The 26,951-nt window shown below is 43.6% G+C and overlaps 1 protein-coding gene across 1 annotated transcript in view, besides 6 other annotated features; it reads right to left on the minus strand.

The window, feature by feature from the left end:
- The window catches only part of EBF2 (EBF transcription factor 2), a 203,689-nt gene that overhangs the window by 122,250 nt on the left and 54,488 nt on the right, over nt 1-26,951 (minus strand). The gene's annotated exons all lie outside the window — the stretch shown is intronic.
- Nucleotides 2,652-3,153: an enhancer, noted in NCBI's record as "NANOG hESC enhancer chr8:25824142-25824643 (GRCh37/hg19 assembly coordinates)". NCBI's record gives its function as "activates a minimal SCP1, AML or CMV promoter by ChIP-STARR-seq in naive H9 embryonic stem cells {active_cell/tissue: H9 hESC(naive)}" and the evidence as "EXISTENCE:reporter gene assay evidence [ECO:0000049][PMID:30033119]".
- Nucleotides 14,869-15,386: an enhancer, noted in NCBI's record as "H3K4me1 hESC enhancer chr8:25836359-25836876 (GRCh37/hg19 assembly coordinates)". NCBI's record gives its function as "activates a minimal SCP1, AML or CMV promoter by ChIP-STARR-seq in primed H9 embryonic stem cells {active_cell/tissue: H9 hESC(primed)}" and the evidence as "EXISTENCE:reporter gene assay evidence [ECO:0000049][PMID:30033119]".
- Nucleotides 15,387-15,902: an enhancer, noted in NCBI's record as "H3K4me1 hESC enhancer chr8:25836877-25837392 (GRCh37/hg19 assembly coordinates)". NCBI's record gives its function as "activates a minimal SCP1, AML or CMV promoter by ChIP-STARR-seq in primed H9 embryonic stem cells {active_cell/tissue: H9 hESC(primed)}" and the evidence as "EXISTENCE:reporter gene assay evidence [ECO:0000049][PMID:30033119]".
- Nucleotides 24,791-25,369: an enhancer, noted in NCBI's record as "NANOG-H3K27ac hESC enhancer chr8:25846281-25846859 (GRCh37/hg19 assembly coordinates)". NCBI's record gives its function as "activates a minimal SCP1, AML or CMV promoter by ChIP-STARR-seq in naive H9 embryonic stem cells {active_cell/tissue: H9 hESC(naive)}" and the evidence as "EXISTENCE:reporter gene assay evidence [ECO:0000049][PMID:30033119]".
- Nucleotides 25,370-25,947: an enhancer, noted in NCBI's record as "OCT4-NANOG-H3K27ac hESC enhancer chr8:25846860-25847437 (GRCh37/hg19 assembly coordinates)". NCBI's record gives its function as "activates a minimal SCP1, AML or CMV promoter by ChIP-STARR-seq in naive and primed H9 embryonic stem cells {active_cell/tissue: H9 hESC(naive and primed)}" and the evidence as "EXISTENCE:reporter gene assay evidence [ECO:0000049][PMID:30033119]".
- Nucleotides 25,948-26,526: an enhancer, noted in NCBI's record as "OCT4-NANOG-H3K27ac hESC enhancer chr8:25847438-25848016 (GRCh37/hg19 assembly coordinates)". NCBI's record gives its function as "activates a minimal SCP1, AML or CMV promoter by ChIP-STARR-seq in naive H9 embryonic stem cells {active_cell/tissue: H9 hESC(naive)}" and the evidence as "EXISTENCE:reporter gene assay evidence [ECO:0000049][PMID:30033119]".

Below are 26,951 nucleotides of genomic sequence, written 5' to 3' on the forward strand. Positions count from 1 at the left end.
GGATATCAGGTTTCCTTGCTGCTGATGAAGCACTGTCTATATAGAAGGCTCCTAACAGTACTTTGTATCAATAGGATCAATTAGCAAATGATCCTAGCAATTAAAACTTAAAACACACACAGGCATACCCCGCACCTAAAGGTTCTCTTGCACACCCCAGTACAAGGGGAGGGAGAAGTGAATTTGGATGAACCAATTTGAATAAGAATATCATACTCAAACAATCATTGGATAGGAATGACGAGAGCTTCGGTGAGTGTCTGCAAAGAGCAGCAACAGAGAACATTCTGTTGGGATTAGAAACAAAAAATTAAGATCATATCTAAACTGTCCTGGCAAATTGCACACAACCAATCAATTAATCCAAGTATACGTTTAGGATTGGTTTTCTTTCCAAAAAGCCAAATGGAAGGAGAGGAGGAGAAAATGACCACAGATGTGAAAACAGACCTGGAATATTTCATGGACGTGACATATCCACCACATTTAATTAAAAAAAGAATGTATGAGAACAATGTATCCTTCTCAATCTGGGTCGAGGGAACAAAACAGGACTGGATTAGATAGGACAACTGTAATCTCTAGAGACAGTTCCATGTTTAATGGGAGCGCCACATGTTTGATATGTAGGGAAGTAAGTGGGTGTCCTGGACACGGTCCACTATTCATCATAATACCACAGCCCTGTTCATTCCCAGAGAGGAGAGTTAAAACCATGAAACCATATGTAGAATATTAAAAATCATTTAACATTAAAATGCACATTATGAAGGCATGCACTTTGGACAAGGCTACAGTCCAAGAGCTCTGAGAAATCTCCAGTTCAGTAGATAATTGTTGTAAAGGTAAACTGAGTTATCTATATGTACCTACACATGCGGATGTTTGCACACAGGCGCATGCATGCACACACAGAGGGACTGTCATAGAAGCTTAGTCCTCATCTCTTCAATGCTGCCTTTCATCACTCTGTTTTCCTTACTGATTTCTGTAGTGAGGTCAATATCAATAATTGATGGAGCTATGATATCTAGAGCATCAGCACATTAATTTATAATTAAAGATGAGAAATATCAGTTCTTCTCCCACCACCCATTATTTGGTATTAAAACATATATATACACATATATATTTAATACATAGCAGATATTAAATTGTTTCTCAAGCAGAGTCAGTAACCTTACTATATTTTCATGGACTTTTCATTGCCACTGAATTAATCACAGCCCTGCCCCTAACCACATAGAACTTTATTTCCCAAAAGAGCAATGTTTACTTTGCTTTACTTTGTTGGAACTCAAAGTACCTATTCAGTCTATAACGATTTTGTGTAACATATTTTGTTAAGCAACATTAAAAGCGCTCACTCACAGATCTTGGTTAGACTGCTTTGCTTATATGCAGATTTGGGGTGCTTTTGATCTCATCTAGCTCACCAACAAGGGCAAGGCTGAGTCTAAATCCACTGTGCATGGAAATGCTAACGACTTTGGAGATTGAGAGTCCTCTATATTTTCTCAGTTGCCAAAAATAATATATGAAGTGAAAAGTGAATGTAGCAAACGTAAGCATGCACTCAGGGAGAAATCCTATCTGTCAACTTTCAGCAGGAGATGACAGACAGCAGAGATGGTACCAACTCAGACTGACTGTGGGTAGTCTGATCCCTGCCATTCCAACTAAAGACAAAAGGGTGGACAACTGCTATGAAGGCCACCAGAAGACATTAGGGTCCCTTGCTGAAGGAGACATGCCTCACCCATGAACTCACTGTAGGGCCCTAGAGTCACCTCTTGAGGCAGTCACCACAGCTCTCCCACAGTGAAAGATGGGGAGGGCATTTACTAGAACAGTAAACAGCAGATTAAGTAGAGCAGAGTGAACCCCAACAATGTGTACCTGGCCGAGGGCAGCAAAGCTGCAATTTCCTCTGCCAGGGCATCAGCAAAGTGCGTCCTGCCCTCGGTTATCCTGACTGCAGTTGGCCCCTGCACTCTATGAACAAGGAATCTCTCACCCAACTGATCATTTGGGGCATAGGTTGCAACAGTGCAAGGTGGGAGAAGTTGAAGAAAAAAAAGGACAGGTAACGTTCAGCCATCCAGCCAGAGGTATGCATTTGACCCAACTGCAGGCCAGGCTGGCTCCTTCTCAAAGGGCAAGAGGGCTTTTGCTCAAGGCCTGAGGCTTTAGAGACAAAGCATCTAAAGGCTTAGAGATGATCCATGGTTTTCCAAGTCAGGGATGAGGCTGCCTAGGCTTTTGGAGATTTTGATTCATTCACCTGGCAATTTAAGAACAGGTGTATTTGGCATAAGTCGCTCAACCCTGCTCCTGAAGGAAGGAGGGGTGCAGTTGCAATGTATTGCAGGGCACTGCTTTTCTTCCCTTCTTTTCCCACACCATCCCAAGCCTGTTCCTAGAAGCTCCTGGGACTCAGAGGAAATCACTTTCCGGACTCTACCCTCATCCACACCCTTGCAAACAGCAATAGCATATCTACTTAGGCAGAAAGAAACGGAACTGTAGATGCAAGAAGGTAAATGCAATCTGAGAGATTTGCTGTTAACTCCAAAGGGGCTTTATTCTATTACATAAAGTATAGGACAGAGGTTTCTGAACTGTCTTTATGAACAAGCCCGAGTTCTTTCTCAAAATCCTAATGAGACAATGCCTTGGCCCATCTCCTCTTTGAGTTCCTCAGAAAAGACTGAGCCTGATCTTCCTGCCTTCTGTTGCAAACCTTCTTGCCATCTGGGTGATAAGAGAGCCAGTAAAGCCAGGCAGCCTGCATACCTTTCTCTCCAAATCCAGATAGCCAGCATGCTGGGGTGTATGAGAAGGCAAGGAGAAATTCTCCAGACTAAGGTAACAAAGCTACAGCCACAACAAGCTGTGGTGCCCTTCCTGCCACATGGTTGGCCAGAGATTCTTTTCTATAGACTGTCACTAGAGGGCCTGCCCAGACACCATCCCTGAACATATATAAATCCTAGAGCCAATGTCAACAATGCATAGAAGTAACCCTGGAAAAGCTGCCATGGATGCTGCTACAATAAACGGAGAGAAGGAAGCTAATGAATAAATTCATCATCAGAGATGATGGAATGAAATGCAGATGGGTCTATGTATTTGGGAAATCAAAACTCCAACTAATGGTGCACACAGCATGTTGCTACAGGGGAACTAACATCGGGAGAGGCAGGAAAGGAAAAGATGAAATGTGTTTATTAAACCATTGCTAAGAACAGAGGCTAAGGCAAGAGCTTGAAAATCTGTAGCTAAGTTTTAGAAGATACAAAGAAAAACGGAGCTCTTTTTTGGGTAGAGAATTGGATCCATGTACAGATGCTCCTCAACATACAATGGGGTTATATCCCAATAAATTCAATATAAATTGAAAATATCACAAATCAAAAATGCATTTAATACATCCAACCTAGTGAGCATCATAGCTTATTACTCTAAACTACCTTGAATGTGTACAGAACACTTACATTAGCCTATAGTTGGGCTAAATCATCTAACACAAAGCCTATGTTATAATAAAGTGTTGAAAAGCTCATGTCATTTATTGAATACTGTACTGAAAGTGAAAAACAGCAAAGTTGTATGGGAACTTGTATAGTTTCTATTGAATGCATATCACTTTCACACCATTGTCAAATCAAAAGATCATAAATCTATGTGTGTTGGGGGCAAGGGTGAGGATGCATTGAAGGACTAGTTTCCTTACTCTGTCTCCATGAATGCAGCAAAGAGTAGCAATTCAGACTGCAGCTCTGGAGTTGTGATGCCTAGGTTTGAGTTTATGTTCCTCCACTTAAAACTGGGGCAAATTTCTTAATCTCTCAGCCTCAGGACACTCACACGTAAAACAAGGGTAAGAATAGAACCTGCCAAATAGGAGTGTCATTGAGAAGATTAAATGAGGTTTCCAGTAGCCAGGTAAAGCACTTACTATAGTATGTATACTTACAGAATATATACACACAATATGTACTCAAGAGTTTGTAGATGCATACAATATGCACTTACAGTATGCAGCTTACCTGAAAGAATCAGCAGAAAAACTTTTTAAATGTCCCCAAAGTATAGGCTGTAGTCAGTATTTTTTTCTGCACATAGGTGGGCTATTTAATGAAGGACAGGACACTTCACAGCTACTTAATCTCGGTGAATCATGATCGAGCAATTCCATTTGTGGATATCTATCTCCCCAGAAGAACTGGAAGCAGGGTTTGAAGAGTAATTTGTACAATGTTCAAAGCAGTGCGATTCACCATTGCCAAATGGTAGAAGCAACCTGAAGTGTCCATCAACAGATGAAAGGATAGAAAAATATGGTATAACCATATACTGGAATAGTATTCAGCCTTAAAAATGAAGGAAATTCTGACATACGCTACAACATGGATAAGCCTTGAGGACATTATGCTGAGTGAAATAAACCAGTTATGAACGAATATTGTATAATCCCACTCACATGAGGTTCATAGAGCAGTCAAATTCATAGACACAGAAAGCAGAATGGTGGTTGCCAGTAGCTGGGGGGAGGGGAAAATGGGAGTTGTTGTTTAATGGGTACAGATTGTTTGTTTGCTTCAGATGGATTCTCACTTTGTTGCCCAGGATGGAGTGCTGTGGCATGATCTCAGCTCACTGCAACCTCCACCCCCCTGGGTTCAAGTGATTTTCTTGCCTCAGCCTCCCAGCAGCTGGGATTACAGGCATACACCACCACACCTAATTTTTGTATTTTTAGTAGAGACGGGGTTTCACTGTGTTGGCCAGGCTGGTCTTGAAGTCCTGACCTCAAGTGATATGCCCGCCTAGGCCTCCCCAAGTGTTGGGATGACAGGCACGAGCCACCGTGCCCCGCAGAGTGTCAGTTTTCTAAGATGAAAGTTCTGAGGCTGGATGATGGTGATGGCTGCACAATAATGTACTTAGCACTACTGAACTGCACACTTAAAGATGGTTAAGGTGGTAAGTGTATTTTACCACAAATAATTTTTTTAAAAAACTTAAAATGGTAAAAAAAAATTTTGATTGAAAAAAAAAAGAATCTCAGTGAATCACACAATCAGAAAGTCCCCTTCAAATGGAGATTAATGGTAATTGATCTCTGGATTCTCTCCCCCATATTGGAGACACCTTTTCTTAAGACATCTCAAAGTGAAACCCCGAAGGAGGAATTGTCTAAGAAGATTTAGGTTCAGTTCTGTGTAATGACAAACTCCATCAATGAGAGTTAACAAATTCCTCTCTGTCCCATTCATGAATTCCTTCCTTGGTGTCTAAAACTGGCTCCATTTCTTGCGCAAAGCCTAGGAATCAGGAATAAAGAATTCATCAAGCCCTGAGAGCTAGAAAGGGAAGCTGAGATCAATCACCTGTTTCAGAAAATAGAAGATAATCGAGACTCTTGTCTCCAGGTTTCTCCTGTGCTTTTGAGAACAGGAGTAAAGGCCTGCTGACGCTTCTGAGTTCCTCCAGGTCTGGACTCCCTCCTGGGAGACAGGAAGTGCAGTACCCACATCCATGGAGCACCTATCCCGGGAGGACACTTTCTAAACTGAGATGGTAACAGGGCAAAGAGTGTGTTCAATGAGAGCGTGTTTACTTCACTAGAGCCCATCTTAGGGCATAGTAAATTTATCGTTGTATTATTTGGAATTTCCTTCTCACTCATGAGTCTCCTTTGAGGCAGGGTTGTTCAAGGCTCAGGTTTGGGGACAGATGGATCCAGGCACCAGTTTCCTTATCACCCAGGCTGGAGGGCAGTGGCGCGATCACAGCTCACTGCAGCTTTGAACTCCTGGGCTCAAGCAACCCTCCCACTTCAGCCTCCTGAGTAACTGAGACTACAGGCACATGCCACCGTGCCTGACAGCAATATCTGTTTCTTGGGGTTGTGGTGAAAAGTCAAAGGGGCGATGTGTAAGGCAGGCTTAGCACAGTGCCTGATGCATGGCAAATGTTAGCCAATATTATTTACTATCCTCACCACAGAGTTTTGGAACAGATTTTATGACCTTCATATTATCAAGAGGAAAGGGCCACCCAGAGAAGCAAGTGACTTGGTTAGGGTAATGCAGTCTCTCTATGTCGTTCCCTCTGCTGGATCTATTCTTTCTAGTCTGCTTAGAAAGAGAAGCATCCTTCTGACCCAGAGAGGCAGTTGCAGAGGGCTGCAGCCAGGCAGGGCTGACCACAGGCTCTGGTTTCCAGATGAACCAGGATGCTGCTCCAGATTGCTTGCTGACATCCCCATCCTAGGCTGGTACCAAAGCGTAAGTGAAAGTCTGTCCCCTGCTCTTCCATTCGCTTCGACAGGAGCCTTCATCTGCTCCACCTTCTGGGAGCATGTGTCGGTCTCGGAGCCTGGCGCTGAAGCAGGTGCGGGCATATTTTAAGCTCCAGCAAATAACTTTAATTGAGCTCTCCTTAGACATATGAACCCACAGAGCAATTTTTTTTCCTCTTCTAATAAAAAAAGACCCACAACAAACCAGATGGGTCTCAGTCCCTCCCCAACACCCCCTCCCCACTCTTCAGGCTCCCCTAATAAATCTCTTAACTCTAAAGAAATTACCTTCCTTGAAGTGGGTATGTTATTCGGTTGCATGACTGTACCCAAGCTGCCTCTGCGGGCCAGAATGTGGGTCAGAAGGATGCAGCCTGCAGAAATGAGGCCTGCTGGTTCTGGCCAGGTTGGTGCTTGCATTATTGCTTGTCCATAACTTTCTATCACCCCTTACTTCCCTGTGCCTGCTCCCCTCATGCTGGGTCACTCACTGCTGCTGTTCTTCTCCCTTTATGTTCTGGTATCTGCAACCTCCACTTTATTTATTTATTTCATTTATTTATTTAGAGACAGGATTTTGCTCTGTCACCCAGGCTGGAGTGCAGTGGCGCGATCACAGCTCACTGCAGCTTTAAACTCCTGGGCTCAAGCAACCCTCCCACTTCAGCCTCCTGAGTAACTGAGACTACAGGCACATGCCACCATGCCTGGCTAATATTTTTTATGTTTTCTGTAGAGAAGGGTCTAACTATGTTGCCCAGGCTAGCCTTGAACTCCTGGGCTCAAGAGATCCTCCTGCCTCAGCCTCCCAAAGTGCTGGGATTACAGGCATGAGCCACTGCACCCAGCAACCACCACTCTTAGCAGTTTCACCTCAACAAAAATTCCCTTCTTGGAGTGGACCTTCCAACACACCTGGCTAATGTGGAAAAATCTAGATGGAATTCCTCCCACCAAAAGCCAGCTTAACTCCTTGGCAGCGTGTCCAGAAAGAGTGATGAAAAAATAAGCCAATACCTCCTGTCACCAAAATAAAGTTCAGAGACATCGTGGGCAACAGAGTTCAGTCTCATTTTGCAGATCCGTGTTCTCTTTAATGCCCCGTATGAAGGTGGCAGCGGGAACAAGAGGGAAACACTACAGTGTGACTGGATTCCAGACCCCGCCCCCGAAAAAAAGACCTCAAGAATTGCCCAGGGCAAGAGCCAAGCACCGCGCTCTGGGTTCTGATTTATGAGCGCTAAATTATTGGTAGGAGGGCCCAGAAGGAGTCGTTTACAACAGAAATTATTGCAGGCAAATGTTGGTTGGTATTTTAAATCACTCACTAATATTGATAGGTTAATGCTTGTCACACTTGCTTAAGGGTCACAGGGAAGAAAAAAAAACACAAAACTTTATCTTTGGCTTGTTACTGGCTAAGTATAATGATAGATACACCTTTTTGTGTTTTTTTTTCCTCGAGCTAAGCCTGCTGTATTATTTATGGTTTTCTGAGTCACTGGCTATAGCCTGCATCTGGATTTTAAAAGGTTGATTTGCAAAAAAACAAAAATAGGGCACCCGTCTAGGGAGGCTGGTGGGAGTCTGCTCTACAGCTCGAGCGGCCCCTCCAAGAACCCTGGGCTGCAAGGCTGGGCGCCTCAGGCGGCCAGGGCCAGATGGCCAGGGCGCATTGTTCCCCTTTCGGTGGTAGTCCTGCTGCGGCAAATAAAGTTAAATCAAAAGGTTAGTGCTCTGCAAGGGGGTGGCAGAGCTGGCTCCAGCTGACAAGAGACAAGCATCCTGGACAGAGAGTGGGGACTACGTGGCTGTTCCCCGGAATGCAAAGGGAAGAGAGCTAGGGTGCAGAAATCAACAGAGAGGAGCATGCTGACCTGGAGCGGGGCTTTCCAGGCCTCACGTCAGACAGGCTCTCCCTGACAACAGCAATCACGGATCACAAGGTCCCCTCCTTCGTAGACCCCGAGGGAGCCAACAATTACAATCTTGGTCCACCCATGACTAGGGATTGAGGGAGGCACCATCCCTCACCTTGGGTCTGAGATGGGAAGAGCTGCCTCAGACTTCCTTCAGCAAACAGCACCTTCCTTTGGGGGTGGCTTTGGGGTGGTATATTTTGGAGGGGGATGGGGTGTGGCTTGGGAGGATCAAATGACCCTCCCCTGTCATCAGTGGAAGCAAAGTTTAGAATCTGGATGGGCAGCGTAGGATTACTTCTAATGGGCACATAACAGCTTTTAAGCCTGACACAAAATCCTTGGATTATTTCATAGACTGTCAGAGCAAAAAAAGGATTTAAGAGACTATGGAAACCCCTGCCTCATTTTACAGACCAACAAAAGGGAGTCCAGAGAGGAAAAGTGATTTGCTGAGGGTCACACAGGAAGATGAGGAAGCCGGGACCCACGCCCAATGTTCCCGGGCACTGTGCCCCAAGCTCAAAGTATACATGAGGGCGATGGTGGCCGAGTGGGCCACGATGTGTAAAATCACAGGCAATATAAGCCGTATTTCAAAGACTAGGGGAGACGATATTTCATATGAAAACTAGCAGGTACAATATGCAATACAATGCAGTTTGGCTTTTTTTTTTTTTTTTTGAAAATCACCTTTTTCATAAAGCACATTTGAACTTGCCTTACATTTCAAAATAAGTCCCTCTCTCCCCAACTCCCACCCACCCTTGTCCCACTCCAAGAGCGGGAGCTTTGGTTTCCTCTGCAGGTTCTACCCTGGGCTCTAGCTGGACTGCACATTTTTGTATTCCTTTTTCATTGAGTTTCCAAAGCACAGTATTTACCCAGGAGGCCTGCAGTTTCCAGGGTATGGAACACAATTAGGTGACCTGCAAAGTGTTTTTTATTTACCTGAGAGAACCAGGCTGTCCTTAGGTGCCAACTGGTCTCTCAGGTAAATATGAACTTGGGCAGACTTAAAAAAATAAAAATAAAAAGCTAACATTAAGATATGTATTGAGGGATTTTTAAACTCTGATTCCATCCTTTTAGCTAGATACCTTTCTTTCCCCTGCCCAGCCTCATTCCCCTAAACAGAATATTACTGAAGCCATTTCAGTGCCTTTGATCCTGTTCTAATCTGGATCATATTTACAGGGCAGATCTTCTGTTTCCTACCACACTGGACTGGCTTGAATGCACAGTTAAGCAATATTTTTGACTTCCCTTTGAAAATTTAGGAGGAGGTGATATTTCCAAAGGTGTGCAAAACCAGCGATGAAGCAAACTTAACTTTTTAAAAATGCAAACTACATTTTAATAAAAGTTAACTTAAAAGAAAACAAACAACTCTCAAATCACATTTCCATCCTCAAATCTGTCTGCTTTGTTAGATTGTTTTTCCCCCTTGAAGCTAGTCTGTTTTTCTTTTGTTTTTCTTTTTAGTTTTTTGAGACAGGGTCACACTCTGTTGCCCAAGTGGAATGCAGTGACAGGATCATGGCCCACTGCAGCCTCCACCTCCTGGGCTCAAACGATCTTCCCACCTCAGCCTCCCTAGTAGCTGGGACAACAGGTATGCACCACCACAAAGGGCTAATTTTTGTATTATTTATAAAGACAGGGTCTCACTATGTTGCCCAGGCTGATCTCACAAACTCCTGGGAGCAAGCAATTCACCCACCTCAGCCTCCCGAAGTGCTGGGATTACAGGTGTGAGCCACCACACCCAGCCTAAGCTTTTCATTTCTATTAGAAAACCTATAGGGCTTTCTGCTCATTTCCAGAAAATGTGAGGTCTGAGCACCACATCTCTATGAGAATTCCAAATGGAAACAATGCAAAAGATTTTACAGTTCTTACCAAACACGCAAATTTTAGAGTAGGAAGAGGCAGGTGAGATCATGTTGTCTGACTCTGATTTTACGGATGAGCTCACTAAGCACCAAGGGGAAGTGGCACAGGTCACAGATGGAGTGGGCAAAACCAGACCAGGCTCCAGGACCCAAGACTCCTCACCTGGTGCTCTTGCCAGCATCTCCCACTGACTTCCTGTCATCCCACTGCTGATTTGAGCAACGAGTGAGTTCATCCTGCTGGCCTGACCATCTCCAGAAAGTAAGAGTAAATGAAAGATTTGATCCAAGTACACTGTATCTCCTTGTGCTGACTATAGCTGAAACAATTGCTGGAGAAGTATCCCAGTTATCAAAGTGAAAACTTCTATCCTTTTACCTGATTGGGAAAAGCTGATTTAGCTATCAATTAGTGCCTAGAGCCAGAAAACTTGATAAAATCTTAGTTTGAACTTTTAATGTGGTGTGGACTAAACAAAAAACTGAGTTAGAATTTTGCTCTTCAATTAAGTGATTTAAAATATATTTTAGTTAGTATTTTAAAAACTATTTCTGACAATATACAAATATAGTAACAATAAAGACACTGGAACTTGGACGGCAAAATAATTATGAGTCCCTGCTTTCCTTCCTGCCAAACTCCCCCTGCCCCCCCATCCTACTGTAGCCAAAAAAATACAGTTTTCCAAGAACTGCATTTTTCTGACATCCTGTGCATTTTGAGATCCGGGGAGACTTCCCATTTTCCACACTCAGCACTTTGAGGGCCATCAGGGTCGAAGCACCAGTATTCCCAGCAGATCCCTGATAGCTCATCCAGAACAATCAAGCTACCGGCTGCCCCGCCCCTCTTGTTACTAAGCTGACATCAATTTCTCAAATAAGCATTACCTTCAGTGGTGGTGGTGTTTCTACCAGAGAAACAAAGCAAAGAGATTAATCAGAGACCACAAAGTTAAAGCAGTTGCAACCTCGGCTCGAAATCCCACTCCTAAAACACCATACACCCAAGTCAGAAAAAATAAAATGAAACTTCACATCCTGGCCTCAGAAGCGCCTGTTAACCCAGGAACTACTGCGCTGAAAATCACATCCTCTGCTCAGCCCGGGTGAGCAGGGACTACAGGGGAAAATGAAAGAAACGATACATGTTTCAAATTTTACAGCAGTTTAACATCATGCAAAACTGAAAAGGCCTTGGAGGTTTCATTCTCGATGAAGTTTAGTTGGTACAGAATCAACTGTCTCAGTAAAACACACCACAGGCACATAATGTAATGTAGACAGACACTGAAAGCAATATCAGATTCCTTTCTTATCACTTCTTCAGGATAAAATTCAGATGTACATTTTTCCCGGTTAAATAGTGCGACAGGATTAAGTAGACAGCTAAGCCTTTATAAGTTGAATAATATGCTTTGCAGGTTATTAATATGCTGATCATATACGCTGGCTTTATTAAATGAAATATTTGAAATGTACAGAGCCTGATTTCATTTTCAGTTTTAAAAACTGTGCTATAGGAAATATTTTTGTATAAACAAGATTCTAAGAGTCTTTCATCTTTTGCTTGCCTAACCCAAACCTGCAGGATTATGTTAAATGAGTATTTATGTTCCCAAGCAACATTTTAAAAAGTTTTATTTTCATTTCTACAGTAACTCTACAGTATCCTGAGAGGTAAAAATTGACACAGTGCACACGATTACTGGGGAGGGTTAATAGGCAGAAAATTATCCCAGAATCTGAAAATTCTGTTTCAGCAAAGCTGATAACTGGTGATTTCAGATTTGAATTTGAGCAGCTGCCAAAGAAAAGTTAAAAATTACATCTAAAGGATGAACAGCTGTGGTCCAAACTATGCTGCAATCTTAATCTTTATGAACTTCTTCGATAGGATTCAAACCAAAGCCAGAAACGTCCACAGAGATCCCTTCTGTAGAGTCAGATTTACTCATGTTCTTAGTTTGGGGTCTTCTTTAAAATAAAATAATAATAAATTCAATTACTATGAAAACCCTCCTCCAATGAAAATTAAAAATTCAACTCTCTTGCATCATGCTTTTTATGAAGATGAATTAAAATGTCTTCATCGCTTTTCATAGATGTGGTTGAAATTATTAAATTATTATTGAATCAAGGTCTTGAAACCACTTGCAGTCTTTTTCCATGTTCTTTCACATGCTGTAATGGAGATCCGTAAAATTTTGCCAATTTGGAAACAGGTCCAATAGATGGTTATTAAGCACTGCTCGACTATTAAGCTTTCTAACTTCCATAATATTTTGTAGTCCCCTATAGAACCCAAACTACCATTCACCGTCTTTAGAGTCACTCATAACATTCTGGGCAAATCCTTAGGAAAATGACACAGAGTTGGGCTGAGCTGCCAAGACACAGTATATTTCGACTGAGGACTAATAATATTTGGAAATGATTTCCTGTATTTCTTCTTTACTTATTTGTTAATCTGATATAGTTTCCAGAGTTTGCAATGCTCATGCCTTTTGTATTCTAAAGAGATGAGGGGCTTTCTTAAAAACAAAACAAAACAAAAATCTTCTTTCTCTAGCCTGATTCTCACTTAATGCTGAAGGTCTTTTAAACCTTCTAAGTAAACATAAATGTGTATACATTAGGGTTGCTTGTGTTGGAAGAAGACAAAAATAAAGATTGGCCTTTTCCCGGTAAACATGGACTCTTAAGCCTCTAAATGATTTGCCAAACAGAATCGGATAATAAAGGGTTTAAACTTTGCCACTTTGGGGTTAATGTGAAAGGCTTGTCAACATCAGACTGTTTAGACATTAAAAGGAACGCTCTGTGCACCTCCTTTTAAACTCCATGTTCTCTTGAGTTGCAGCTCCCAGTGAATTTACCCAGCTGTAAGTGATTCCAGATGTGCAGCAGTGACAAGCTTCAGTCTCAGGGTACTTATTCATTTCACATTAAAATCTCATGTTCCCAGGTCTGAGCTGTTATCTGACTGAGATCTGATTAGGGAATACAGCAGAGGCATTTCCAAACCCAGAGCCTGCCCTCATTCCCTGGCACGGATCTCTGACTATCAGGCAGCTCTGTGCAAGGGAGAAGTGGCTCGGGGTACAGTGAAGGGCAGGGCGGGGTTTCAGAGCTGTCCCCTTAATACGTGCACATCGCATGCTCCCAGCGGGTCAGGTACTTCCCCACAGTTTATCTCATTTAATCCTGGACAGAGCAGTAGACACTTGAGCCCAGCTGAACCCAATTCCTCTATCAAACACGAGCTTCCTTCCCCCAGTTAAAGGGGGTAGGGCCTGTGATTTTGCACATTTTCTACACAGCACCCCACATGCAGAGGGGTGCTTGATAAAGGCATGAGGAGTGATAATTGATTTTCCAAGCCACAAAACCCTCAATCTTCTCTCTCGCCCCCAGCTATGTTCTGACCACGATAGAAGAAGGTAAGTAGAAGAGCAAGAAGAGGAAGAAGAAGAGAAAGAAAGGAAGTCAGGAGCATGAAGAAAGCACCTTCTTCAAACAAGCTAGTTATGCCTTTGTTCCCGGACAAGGAAGTGGTGGTCCTCTCTGATCTCACCCCTAGCATGAACAGGGTTCATTCCAAGTCAGCTTTGACTTCCTTGCCCGAAGTGCACATGTACAAATGCTATTGGCTGACAGTTTCTTCTATGACACGTGTCAAAGACACATTTTCCTGGCTACAGAAATATAAGGTGAGTTGGGGACTGCAGACAGAGACTAAGATAACATGAGTACCTGAGGGAAGAAAGCAACGTCTGTGATGCCCACAGAAGGGGGATAAGTTAGGGATCATTATTATTTCATTATTTTCCCCTCTAGCCTGACTTTTGGTTTGACTTGAGCTTTACTGCAATTTTTTTTTCTTGACCCTATCCCGTTGTCACTTTGAAGAGGGAGATAGCACCACAAACCCCCAGCTGATCAACTGTGGTCACAGGCTGCTGGACAGCCCCAGAGGCCATCAGTAGCTCCTGTCACCGAACCCTCGTCACACTGGAAGCCCCAGAAACTATGCATTGAATACTGCAGCCCCCTCCCCATGTGCTCCGTCTACCCCAAAAGGAAGAAGAAAGAATCACGCAAACCCCAGATTCAAAATGGAGAGGATTAAAAAGCCAGGGAAGCCCCAGGCCCACCTTGAGGGGCCTCGGGTTGGGGGTAACGTGGCCGCGCCACATGGAAGGAGAGCAGCGGCATTTGGTTTGGTGGTGGGCAGATTTTCTTTTACGACTGCTAAATGCCTGCCTTTCTCCCCAAGCAATTATAGTGCTGTTTCCCATCAAGATGGCTGTTAGCTGCGGATCTCCAAGTTGCTGCAAATAAATCAGGAATGCTATTGGCAGCTGGCTGGGAGAGCGACCGAGATGGTCATCCTGGTTATCCCATGATGGCGATGAGGGGCATCGCAGCAATGGTCCAAACCAAGCTGTTTCTGGGAGCTAAAGAAAACAAGGTGCAGCCCTCCTGAGCCCCACATGAATGAAAGCGGAAAGGTGCGCTTCGCCCTCTGGCTGCAGGTTCAGAACCTGAGCACACCTAGGAAATGGGACCCCCACAACACTCAACCCCGCCATGGCATGTGCTTTGCCCAAGGAAACATAACCAAGGCGCCTTCCTCCGGCACATGGAGTAGTATCAAATGCTGTCATTGCAGTTAATCAGAAGCAACACAAAGGGGCCCTTCGGTGCACAGTGGACACAATCCATGCGGTAATGAAAGCTTGTAAAAGACGATGCCAAAGACGTGCATTATGACATGGAAGGTAAATAAAGGGTCTGACGCTGGGCGGGGGGCGGAGTGGTGCGGGTTGGTTCACTCTGCAGCTTGCAGTGGCTTCAGGCTGGAAAACGGGCTGCTCAAACCACGCAGCACCCTTAATCTTGTGACACGGAGGGTTCTCCGAATACCGTAGCTCATCTGAACACACACCCTTGTGAAGGATCCACATAGAAAATGATGGTGAGATTCCTGTGTGGCTGCACGAATCTCTCTGCTGGCTCTGTCACTGTCACACCCAAAGCCCACAAAACCATCCCAAGTTGCTGTGTGTCCCGCAGATGCAAAAAGCATTTCTTCCACGACAGTGTTTGAGGGTGAAAGGAGAGAAAATGATTTGGGCAGGCTGCCAGGGGTATGTGGAGGCCAGGTGGGCCGTGTCCTCCAAGGGAACTGCACGCTGGGCTAAGAAACGGTCCCTGCACGGGACGAGCACCATGTGGCAGCTGCAAACCCTCGCCCTGCCCCCGGCCCTCGAGTCACATTGTGTCATGCCACACGGCATTCGGATCAGGAGATGGCTGTGGCGTGCTGCGTAATATTTTTAAAAGCCCATTTCCCTGTTTAAGGGGGAAGCAGGTGGAACACAGGACCCCTGAAGGGCAGATACTCTGAAAGGCCCCACAGGCAATTCTCCAATAAAAGAGAGAGCAGGGCTGGCATATCTCCCAAACTTACAAATTGACCTTCTCTCTTGATCTGGGACTTAATGCCTCCAAACCAAACTAATTCCAAAAGTCACCTTCTCAACTTCTCTGTACAATTTTTTTTTTAAACAAATGAAAGCTCAGGTACAGCCTCCCCTTGCAGCCCTTCTGACGTCCTTAGCCACTCAAATTAAATCTGAATGGTTCGTCTCTTTTTATTATACGATGGGCCATATGTCACCAAAATAAAAACCCAGCTGAAATCCCAGTACAGATAAAGGGCATGAAAGGCTGTTCCGGCCACAAAATAGAGACCCTGTTTAAATCTTATTAAACAATAACACCCACCCAACCATCCCCTCCCCCTTTTAGCAAAAAAAATTCAGGAAGGAAATTGTGGTTAAATCATCTCATAGTTTGGCAAAAACTTCTACCTCTGAAAAATGAAAAGGAAAAAAAAAGCTTCATTCTGTGCTGGACTCACACAGGCTAATAAAAAGCAGGACTGTATTGCTTTGCACTGTAGCTGTCAAATTCTCAGCAATGAAATACAGATCCTGACTCTCTCATTCCCTTGGGTGCTACCCCCTCAGACCACCAAAAAACGGAAAAGCGGGGGTGGGAGGGGCATCCTTTACCCTCTCCCATTCCAGAGTGAACCTTATTTGTTGCTCTGTTTTATTTTGAATTTTTGTTTCTTGACCTGAATATCTCTCTTCCTGAAGAGATACAACACGTTTCCACTGTTGTAAACACAGTTAAACGTGTAAGGAGCTGTTGAGGCTGCTGCTTTAAAGAACTATGATTCTTCCTTCTTTTAAAGAGAGTACACACTGACATTCAGAGAAGTCCAGACATTGCAACAATGGTAAGCGTGCTGTAAAGGAAGGAAGGAAAGAAAAGAAAAAAGAAAGATCAAAAAGAAAAAACATTTCCATTTCACAAGGTCCCCCAGTGGCCTCCAATGCTCCTCCTCCACCATCAAAAATTCATAAGGGGGATCAGCATTCTTTACCGAATGGATCCCAGTGGCACCATAGACCTTGCTGGGGAGAGAGGCAATAAATATCGAATTATACACCTCATGGGAAGAAAGCACTGAAGACTCAGCTTCAAGCCCTTCACATGGTCCCAGGGGGAGCTGCTCCAGACTCCAGGTCCAGTGCAGAAAGGAAATGGGTCAAGTGTGTCAATTTCTAGACCGATGACCTTTGACTTGCCTAATGACACTGGGAGGCCACCACAAAAAAAAAAAAAAAAAAAAAAAAAAGATGCCAAATGCCTTGGAGGAAAGCAGTGGGGGAGGGGTGTCATTGGGAACCCATGAGAAAACTGCAACCCCAGCACTGTGGTGGGGGGTGACCCCCTTCACCCCTGGAGTAACTGTGACCTGTCCTGGGGAAGGTGTAACCAGCTCAGTGGTAGAAAGTCCATGAACAGAGAACTTCAACTACCACACAGTTTTGGTTCCCAGCTCCAGGAATGGCTTTGCTTCTGCCTGAAACTTGAAGAACATCTCGTTTGTTCCTCTCTAAGCCTTGCTCCTCCCTGCTCTGCCCCCGAAGCCTCCTTCTTCACCCTCCCTGATGACCCCTGATTTGGCTGCCACCACCTGTGCCAACCACGCAGTGAGGTCTCAATGCTCTGCTGCCTTGCATCACTCCCTTTACACATGCATTTTTTTCATCTCCTTGCTTCTAACTTCTAAGCAACAGGAGTGGCCTAGACCTTGGCCAGATTCCTGCCCCCATCCCATCTTCCCTCACCTAGCACTGTATCAAGAGTACGAAGTCGATGCTCTGTGATTCCTGTCAATTGTTGCAAGGCAAACTTCCATTGCCCTATCCATTTCATTTTGGAACTGGAGTATCTGGGTTCCAAAATGAAATGGATAGGGCAATGGAAGTGGGAAGGAAAAGCATGAACCAATGCAGTCAGACAACATGCACCTGCATTTCCCAGTGTAAAAACCTGTGGAAGGCCCGATGTGGTGGCTCACGCCTATCAGTACTTTGGGAAACCGAGGTGGATCACCTGAGGTCAGGAGTTTGAGACCAGCCTGGCCAACGTGGCAAAATCCCGTCTCTACTAAAAATTCAAAAATTAGCCAGGAGTGGTAGCAGGCACCTGTAATCCCAGCTACTAGGGAGGCTGAGGCAGGAGAATCACTTGAACCTGGGAGGCAGAGGTTGCAGTGAGCTAAGATGGCACCACTGCACTCCAGCCTGGGTGAGATTGAGACTCCATCTTAAAAAAAAAAAAAAAAATCTGTGTAGTTATTCATCCAGCAAAACAGTATATGGAATAGATGCCCAGTTCTCCTTTCCTTAAATGGAAAGATCTAGATGTAAATTTTCAAAATAATCTGACAGTTAAATGCAAATTAAGGGTTTCACAATTGGATAATAGAATAAAATTTTTTGCAAACCAAAGGCTATCTGGTAGAGTCTAACATAGCTCGTGGACTAAGTTTTACAAAAGGTACCTAGCTGCATTTGTCACGGAGGGAGGTTTCCTGTGATTTCAGCCCCTCGTATTATATATAAAGTTGACCCAATTAGAGTTTGGATTGGGATGGGCATTTTTAGTTCTCTGCTCTCAGACACCTGGGCTTCAGTTCCCATTTATGCTTCAAAAACAGTTGAAGTTCTTCTTTTCCCATACACCAATGTTCTGAACTCCACTGCCAATTCTGTGAGCTATTCCTTCAGACATTTGCTAAATGGGAAGTGGTGAGAAAACTGCCTAGAACACCCACACTGAACTGCTGATTCTCCCAGTTCCCAGAATGCTGGCTGGGTGGGACTGAGCCTGAACACTATGTCAGCTGGAGTCCACAGCACAGGCCCCAGCCAGGGAGCTGTGGCCCCGCTCCCTCATCCCTTCACCCTCCTCCTCACTCCTTGCCCCTTGAACCTCCACCAAAAAGTAAGTGGTCATGGGGAGTGAAAGGTGAAACTCAGATCATTCCCAGGGGAAGAGTTTTAATGTAAGACTCCATGGGCAGGACACTGAAAGAAACTTCTATCTAAAAGGAGGTTGGAGAACTGTATGCAGATTTCATTGATCTGCATTTATACCACCTTCCAAGGCCATTGAAGCTACTCTGTGGCCCCTAACCTTTTAAGAATAGTAACACACCAGTGCTGCCTGATTTTCCCAGCACCTTGTCTCCCCTCCACCTCTGAGAGGTGCTGGGGGAAAGTTCAGGGTGATTTAAATTATTTTGGTTTTCACACTATAGAACCCACCATGTAATTAAACAGAAACACAAAAGAGTGACCTATGCAAAAATCTGTGCTCTATTATTTTGTAACATATGTAAACATAGTATATACAAATGTGTAATTACATATCAATATATCTTTATATATTATGTTAAATTTATAAATTTCTATGTATAAGGCTTATATTTGTCAGTAAAATAGGTACAATAATCTCAATTCTCTGGTAAAAAATAAGATTCAAAGCGGTCCAATGACTTTCTACAAATCACTTAGCTAACCTCCAGTGGAACCAGGAATCACAAACGCATCCCCTCCGCATGCACGAGCACGTTCAAATCACAGCATTTTTACAAGTTAAAGACGGAACTCCCATATATCAAAAATAGTGTAGAAATGGTCGCATACATTATGTCATATCTACCCACCCAATGGAATAGTATTTCCCATTTAAGAAAGATGAAGAATCTATGAAAGCATGGAAAATGTGCATCATTGAGTGTGAAAGTTAAAATAACACCACAAAATCATGTGGACTCAAACGTGTAAAAATGCGCCTGTGAAAAAGACGGAAGGGGACACACAAAAGCGAAAGTAATGATGCAAAAGGGCTGAAAGTTACAGCGACTTTTTTCTTCTTCTATGTTCCAGACTTTTTTGTTTTGTTATTTCGTTTTATAATTTAAAAGAAAACCTTAAACAGAAGTTCTCTGACTCCAGGCTCAGCGCTGCCTCCAATGAGAAAGTGTCATTCACTCTCCTGCCCTCATCCCCAGCTGTCTACTGGGAACTAATTTGGGACTGGGTTGTGGGTTCCTAACACTACCCAGGAAGCTGGAATGACAGGAAAAGCCAGGACTCCCTAGTTCCAATCCCCAGCATTCACCCCAGCCGGCCCCAGCTTCCTCAGCACAACCCCGGGCTCTAGCTGTGTATAGCCTCTGCTCATCAGGGGCCTCGCTGCTTATGAATTATGAAAACTCGCTGGGTGTGCCCACCGGTGCATATGGATCAGCTGACACCCGAGTGCTGAAGACATAACAAAGGACTTCACCGCTTGGTATCAATGTCGATTTAAAAATCAAAAGCTTTGCTTTGCGAACTTTATCCTTCCACGTCAGTGGGGCGCTATTTAAAAGATACCCCAAAATAACTGTTCAATGACTGCTTCCCAAAAAATTACAACTAAGCATTTCTTTAGCAGTGGATAGCAGCATTCCCTCAACATTGGCCACCCTGCCATGTGCGGGGCTTTCTCCTTTAACAGCACATAGCTGCGGGTACCAACGTCAAAGACAGGAAAGAGTAAACCAAAAGGTGTGTACCTTTGTGTGATTCCATGTGTACTTGTGTGTAAACTAGAATCCAAATAAATTATTTCCGGAATGCGAAACCGAGAAGGAGCTGGGTCTCCCAAATTTGGGAAGATTGTAACAACTCAGGCATTTCACAGAGCACTGTGAACCACTGTTTTACTGAAACAATATTGGCTGACTTAATGTGAGTGTCAGATTAGCACACAGTTGCATCAACTATATAATTAAGAGCATATGTAAATATACCCCCAAAACCCAGGTTTTCCAACATTTACAAGGCACAGAGCCTGAAAAAAAATCCATAAGACCCATTCGCGGCTGGGCGCGGTGGCTCACGCCTGTAATCCCCAGCACTTTGGGAAGCCGAGGTGGGTGGATGACCTGAGGTCAGGAGTTCGAGAACAGCTGGTCAATGTGGAGAAACCCCGTCTCTACCAAAAATTTAAAAATTAGCCAGGCCTGGTGGCGCACGCCTGCAGTTCCAGCGACTCGGGAGGCTGAGACAGGAGAATTGCTTGAAACCGGGAGGCGGAGGTTGCAATGAGCCGACAGGGTGCCACTGCACTCCAGCCTGGGCGACAGAGCAAGACTCCATCTCAAAAAAAAAAAAGACCCATTTGCCTGATTGCACCTCAGAAACCCCTGCTTCTAGGTAATGAAATTTGCCCAGTATTCTTTGATATCTACATTTTGGGAACAGCCCAAGGTTTTTGCTTCCAGTGGAGGCCTTGAGATTTTTACAGAGTGAGATCTGCACAGCTCAGATCCACAGCCACCCTTCCTGGGTGTTCTCAAAGATTTTTATCCACCCACCTCCTGAAACTGAGAAACTTCTTTAAAAACTCAGCTTCTGAAAAAAAAAAAAAAAATTATGGCTCTACAATAAGCAAAGGAAAAGGTATCTTTCTTCTGTCTCCAGAAGATCTTAGGGACCGTAAACTCTGCTCTTAAGGGAGACAGGGGGATTGTTTTATATTTGAAAAGTGATAAAACAGAACTGAGCAAGGCATGGGCTGCAACCAGGAAGAACCCTACCAAACTGGAAATTAACCAGGATAACTCAAGCCTCCAACGTCTCAAAGCCCTCCAGGGCTCCATGCAGCTAGACCTCCCCTCACTTCTCTGCCAACACCAAGTGTAAGAGTGCCCTTTAGAATTGGCTGGGAATTTAGCTGCTGCCTTCTCTGAAATACCCAGTGGCTACATATAAAATATACAGTGCCACAGCAGATTTCCTTGTACATGATATCCACATAAAATTTCCCCATCAGTAAACCCAGGTGGGAGGCCTCCAGACAGCAAGGCAGAACCAACGGTCTGGGGAAGTAGAGAGGTTTCCAGAGTCAGCCTCGCTCTAATGACGATGCCAGGCACATACTTGAGAACATACTTTCTGAACAGAAAAAAACCCTATAGTGCTGCCACTAAATGGCTGTGTGGCCTTCGGTAAGTCACTTAACCTCTCTGGGTTTCAGTTTCCTCCTCTGTAAAACAAAGTGTTGGACCAGATATATAACAAAGGTCATTCTCAAATCCCTGACATTCACTGAAAGATTATTCATGGTCCAGCCAGGAGAGGAGAAATTGAGGTGGACAGGAATTACGGGAATCTTGCTATTTAAGCAAGGAAGTGAGGCCAGACACGGTCGCTTATGCCTGTAATCCCAACACTTTGGGAGGCTGAGGCAGGCCGACCGCTTGAGCCCAGGAGTTTAAGACCAGCCTTGACAACACAGAGAGACCCCCCATCTCTACAAAAAATACAAAAATTAGCTGGGCATGGTAGCATGCGTCTGTAGTCCCAGCTACTGGGGAGGCTGATGTGGGAGGATCACCTGATCCTAGAAAGTTGAGGCCGCAGTAAGTTGTGATCACACCACTGCACACCAGCCCGGGTGACAGAGTGAAACTCTGTCTCAAAAAAAAAAAAAAAAAAAAAAAAGTACATGAGGGGTTGGGAAGGTTTCATGAGCTTAATGATTACATGTGACATAGACTTAAGATATGCATTTATTTGTACAACACATATTTGTTGAGCAACTATTATATGCTGGGTATACACCATGGTTCTTGCCTTCTTGAAGCTTATGGTTCAGATAACAGTTGTCTCTGACTGCTGGGTCCACTTTCCTTGCCTTTGTTCACGCAATAGCCCCCACCTAGAATGCCCTCCACCTGCTTAAATTCTACCATATTCAACTCCCAGCTCCTTCATGAAGCTTTCCTGTACTATTAATGCAGTCTACTCTAACTTCTCTCTCACTGGGCTGTAGTATTTACAGAAGCATTGTTGAATGTGGAATCACATGACTTTCGAATTGCTGTTAAGTGCCCCCAAACTGTCACCCTCCCTAGATTATAAACTCCCAAAGACAGGGGCAGTTCTGTCATGTCCACCACGGCACCAAACTCACCAGTTTCTCAATATATACACCTTGTTCGATGCTTGACTGTGTGAAAATCTTGGTTAAACTCAGTGGGCTTGTTTACTGGTCATTTGAGAGTTCATTTTTATGTCAACCTTTATTTTGTAAATCTTTTTCAATTGGATTATTCTACTTTCCTCATATGATACACCAATAACAACAACTTTAAAAAAAAACTGACTTTTTAGGGGGATGGCACAATACTCTGTGATTCATCAATGTCACTAACAATACTCTGTCAGTTGTAACAGACATAGGTGGAGACGGTTCCTAAGATAAAAGCTGAATGGATAAGAATAGAGTTGATTGTAAGCCAGCATGTTCCAAGATTTGTAAGCAACTGAACTCTCTTGTTAAATAAAATCATATAAAGAAGCCCAGTGTGGACAAAGGCTCTGCCAAAGGCAACATGGGGAGCCCAGGCCTCCACCTGGCCATGACACCCTCACCCCCATCAGCTCTGTGACACTTTTCTGTAACCCATGAGGCTCTGCTGAGCACAACCCCAAAGCCACTGGTCTAGATTTTACCCTGGAATTAAAAAAAAAAACTGATAATTTGCATCTTTCTCATAAAAGCAGAAGAGGAAGATAAGGCTAAAGAAGCAGAGGTGAGGGTAAGGACAGAAAGAGCAAGAATATTGGAATCTGACTTAGCAAAGAGTCATATTTATTGGATATTAGTTTTATATGACTTGGATAATATGATACATATATGAACATCACAGATATAGGAATGTTTTTATATTAAATAAAATAAAACATGTATTGAGACCTTAACTGTGTGCTCAAACACTGGTTGGTACTATTATTTCCCGCCATTTTGCAGATAAGGAAACTGAGGCACAGAGAGGCTCAGTAGCTTGCTCAAGTTCACACAGTTGGTAAGCAGTATGGGAGCTGACCCCAGGCAGTCTCCAGAGTCCTTCTCTTCATCACTCTATGGCTGGCTCTCCAAGTCATTTACACCTTCAAAACACAACCATCGTATCACCTTTTATGTGCTCGACACTTTACAGATTTCTAAGAACTTCTATGAGTGGCATCATATCCATGCCCTTCAACAATCATGAGTGAGGATTACTGCCTTGGCTTTTCAGCTGAGGAAACTGAAGCACACAAAGATTAAGTTTTATCAAGAATAATACAATCAAACCAGAACCCAGGTCTCCTAACTTCCAGGTTGAATGCTTCTGTATCGTGCTACTCTTCTTGAACACAAACTGCATAAGAACCCACCCCCATTCCAATGCCCTCCAAAAGGTGTTCATTGTGCTCCCTAGAAGCCCCTGCCCTCAGGGGCTTCAAGCATTCATGTGGGCTCCAGGTAGTAGCTGTGTGTCTGCAGACACACAACCACACAGGTATATACTACAGTAATATACAAAACTCATAATCATCTTCATTGTCATGTCTTGAGGAGATCTACCAATTTGCTAGGTTTTTTATAGAGACTCTCATAATTCACTGAATTTTTTCATAACATAGGTGCATTCCAAGGACAGCTTAGTGGTGTCCAGGGGTTTTTCAAAAGACCTAATTCCTCAGGATTGCTGGTTCCTCCCAGCCTAGCACTTCTTGTCCATGGATCCATTTGGCCACTCACTGGATAGCAGGTTGGGGAGTGTAGATAGAAGAGAAATAAAGAGGGTAGAGCACATACTCCCACCCTGGGGCTCTTCACACAGTTCTGAGAGCCCTGGGCTCATCAAAGAGCTGCCCACAGAGCCACACTGAGCCAGAGACAAGCAGACAAGCTTTGATCTTCCCAAGGCTCCATTAGTCCCTATGTCCCAGCCATTAGTGAGCCCCTACTAATGGAGAATTCCCCATGCACATGCAGAAATATTCTAGGTGATCACACATGCACACATTTAAATGAGTTTTATAAGTCCATATACGCAAATATGAATGTTGATACATGCATTAAGGAGCATATTTTAATCTGCCAAAACTTATCTCTGGGGTGTTACCACATTATGCACTGGGGATGAGAAACAAGGGAACTAGGAGGCTCATATGATCTCAGCTTCAGTCAATGAATAAATCATCTGCTCATATTTATTGAATAACTTCCATGTAGCTGGCATTATGCTAAGTTATAGAAATAGAAAAGTAATGTGATCTAATCCAGCCAGGAATCTACAATCTAGTTGAAGAGAGAATTATAAGGGTAACATTTTACATTTTGCATAATATTTTCTATTTTACGAAATGCTTTATCAGATACCATCCTCCAGCATTCACAAGACATTTGCTACTAGGACCATTTTGCAGATAAGGAAAACCAAGGCTCAGAATTGATTTGCCCCAAGTCGCATAACTAAATAGTGGAAAAGCAAGAACTTCTACTCAGTTCTTTAGACTCCAAATCCACAGCTCTTTCCAAAAAACTATGTTCGTTCTGCAAAACAAGACTAATACACAAAAACTAAACTAGCAACATTGTATCATCCTATCATATTTAATTAATTATGTGATATCCAAACACAAGGGACAGTTGCGGTGTAGAGGAAAGAACACTGGTCTTAGAGTCAGGCAACCTAGGCTCTGTCACTTACTGACAAAATATTTGGCTTTGCACAAATGCCTTAGCCTCTTTGGGCCTCAGTGTTCCATAAAATGAGTCTGATAGCTTCCCTAGAAGGTTATTACAGGCATAAATGCATGTGAGAATGCTTTAGAAACAGAAAAGGATGAATTAAATGTGACTCTTCAGGAATGAGTGGTGAAATAGTAGGAAGAGGCCCTTCTCTGCTGGGTGTTGACAGATAACAAACTCATAGGATGGGCCAATGCCACATCACAGCAGCTTTCACCATCTCCCATGTGACATTAAGGCAAGGTTTTGGCTTGCAATACATTCAAATCTGGATTATAAAGATCTGTGTCGTAGTAAACTTGTAAAAGGGCAAGACCTCATCTAATCCCCTCTAAAGATGAAAAAAGACATGATTTATAAAGTATGTTATTTGGCATAGGAAGCTCTGATTCTTTAAATAAATATCCATGTAAACAAGGGGTTTCAGAGACTATAGACATTTTACATTTGTCCTCATATGCCGGAGGCGCTTGGGAATCAACATGATTCAGATACATGACAACGCAAATGGCTTGCAGACAACTCTCCCACATTTACAAGTAGTTTAAATTTCTGACCCTGTCTCTTTCCAGTATGCCTGCAATTGAAAGACATTGTGTATTCCATGTAAATAACAGGAAGATGGGCACATGAGTCTCCCGTTCCGTAAGCTAAGTGGATTTGGCTTTCTGGATAAGAGAGCCATGGGTGGCCTTGCTCCTATACTCACCAGTGAGTAAACATCAGAAGCAACAGCAGCAGCAAGGCAGCCTCACCAGGAAGCCTTACACTGAGAGCTAATGGCTTTCCTCTCTACCAGTTCACTTGGCCTAGGGGTCAACTTCTAGAGCCTAAAGCTGCATTAGGATTGGCTTGGGGATTCAGTCCCTAGTGGCTCTCTCCTGTCATCTCCTCTTCCCAGCCTTGAAGGTTGCAGTAGAAAAGGAAACCTGAGATCAGGAAGCAAGATCTAATTTGCCTGCACGCAGTAGGTATACAAAGACATCTTACTGAAACTCCAGTTTTACACAGCCAGTCATGTTACATAAAAAAATGTCCTTATACATCTGCATGTATATAATACAGAGCTATGGGTTATACACACACACACACACACACACACACACACACATAAAATCAATAGACACATTTCTACACCAGCACATCCTTCCTCTGAGTTTAAAATACCCTATTTATATGTGGATTGTTATATTACATAATAATAAGAAAGGTCTGTTAAGTCAAAACTTTACAAGATCATATGTAACGTTGTTTTAAACAGAAAGCTTAAAATGAGCAATGTTCAGTATAATCCAAGAACCCTCCTCAATGTCAATCTGGGATGAAAAATTAAAAGCCAGATTTAGCCAGCTTGGGGCCAAGCACTCATGTTCAGATTCTACAACTGTGCTGTAAGAAAACAGCCTGTCTCTCTTATCCCAACAAAATCTACTAGCTCCAGCACAGAATCCAAGTCCTCTGTCCTTTCAAGCCAAGAAAAGGGGCAGTCCTTACCACCACAATGGACCAGCCTGGAAATATTAAATTGACTCAGCCCATGTCTTCTTAGATACAACTTAACAACTCTGAGTTTACAAAACTCAGCCAAATGGCATCAGGCTTCAGCATAAACTTTTGCTAACTAGCCCACATAGTTCCCATATGCTACGCGATGTTGTTTGAGCCAACTCAGTACCTTATAATTATAAACACACGTCTTTCAGCTCTTCTGTGTATTCTTCCCAGGCAGAACGGAAATATGTCACTTAAATTAGCACTTGGAGTACAGAGTGGATGCCAAATTTGGGTTAGCACAAACAGGGTAAATAAAGCAGC

Source organism: Homo sapiens, chromosome 8 (genome assembly GCF_000001405.40).
Source record: "Homo sapiens chromosome 8, GRCh38.p14 Primary Assembly".
Taxonomy (NCBI): Eukaryota; Metazoa; Chordata; class Mammalia; order Primates; family Hominidae; genus Homo; species Homo sapiens.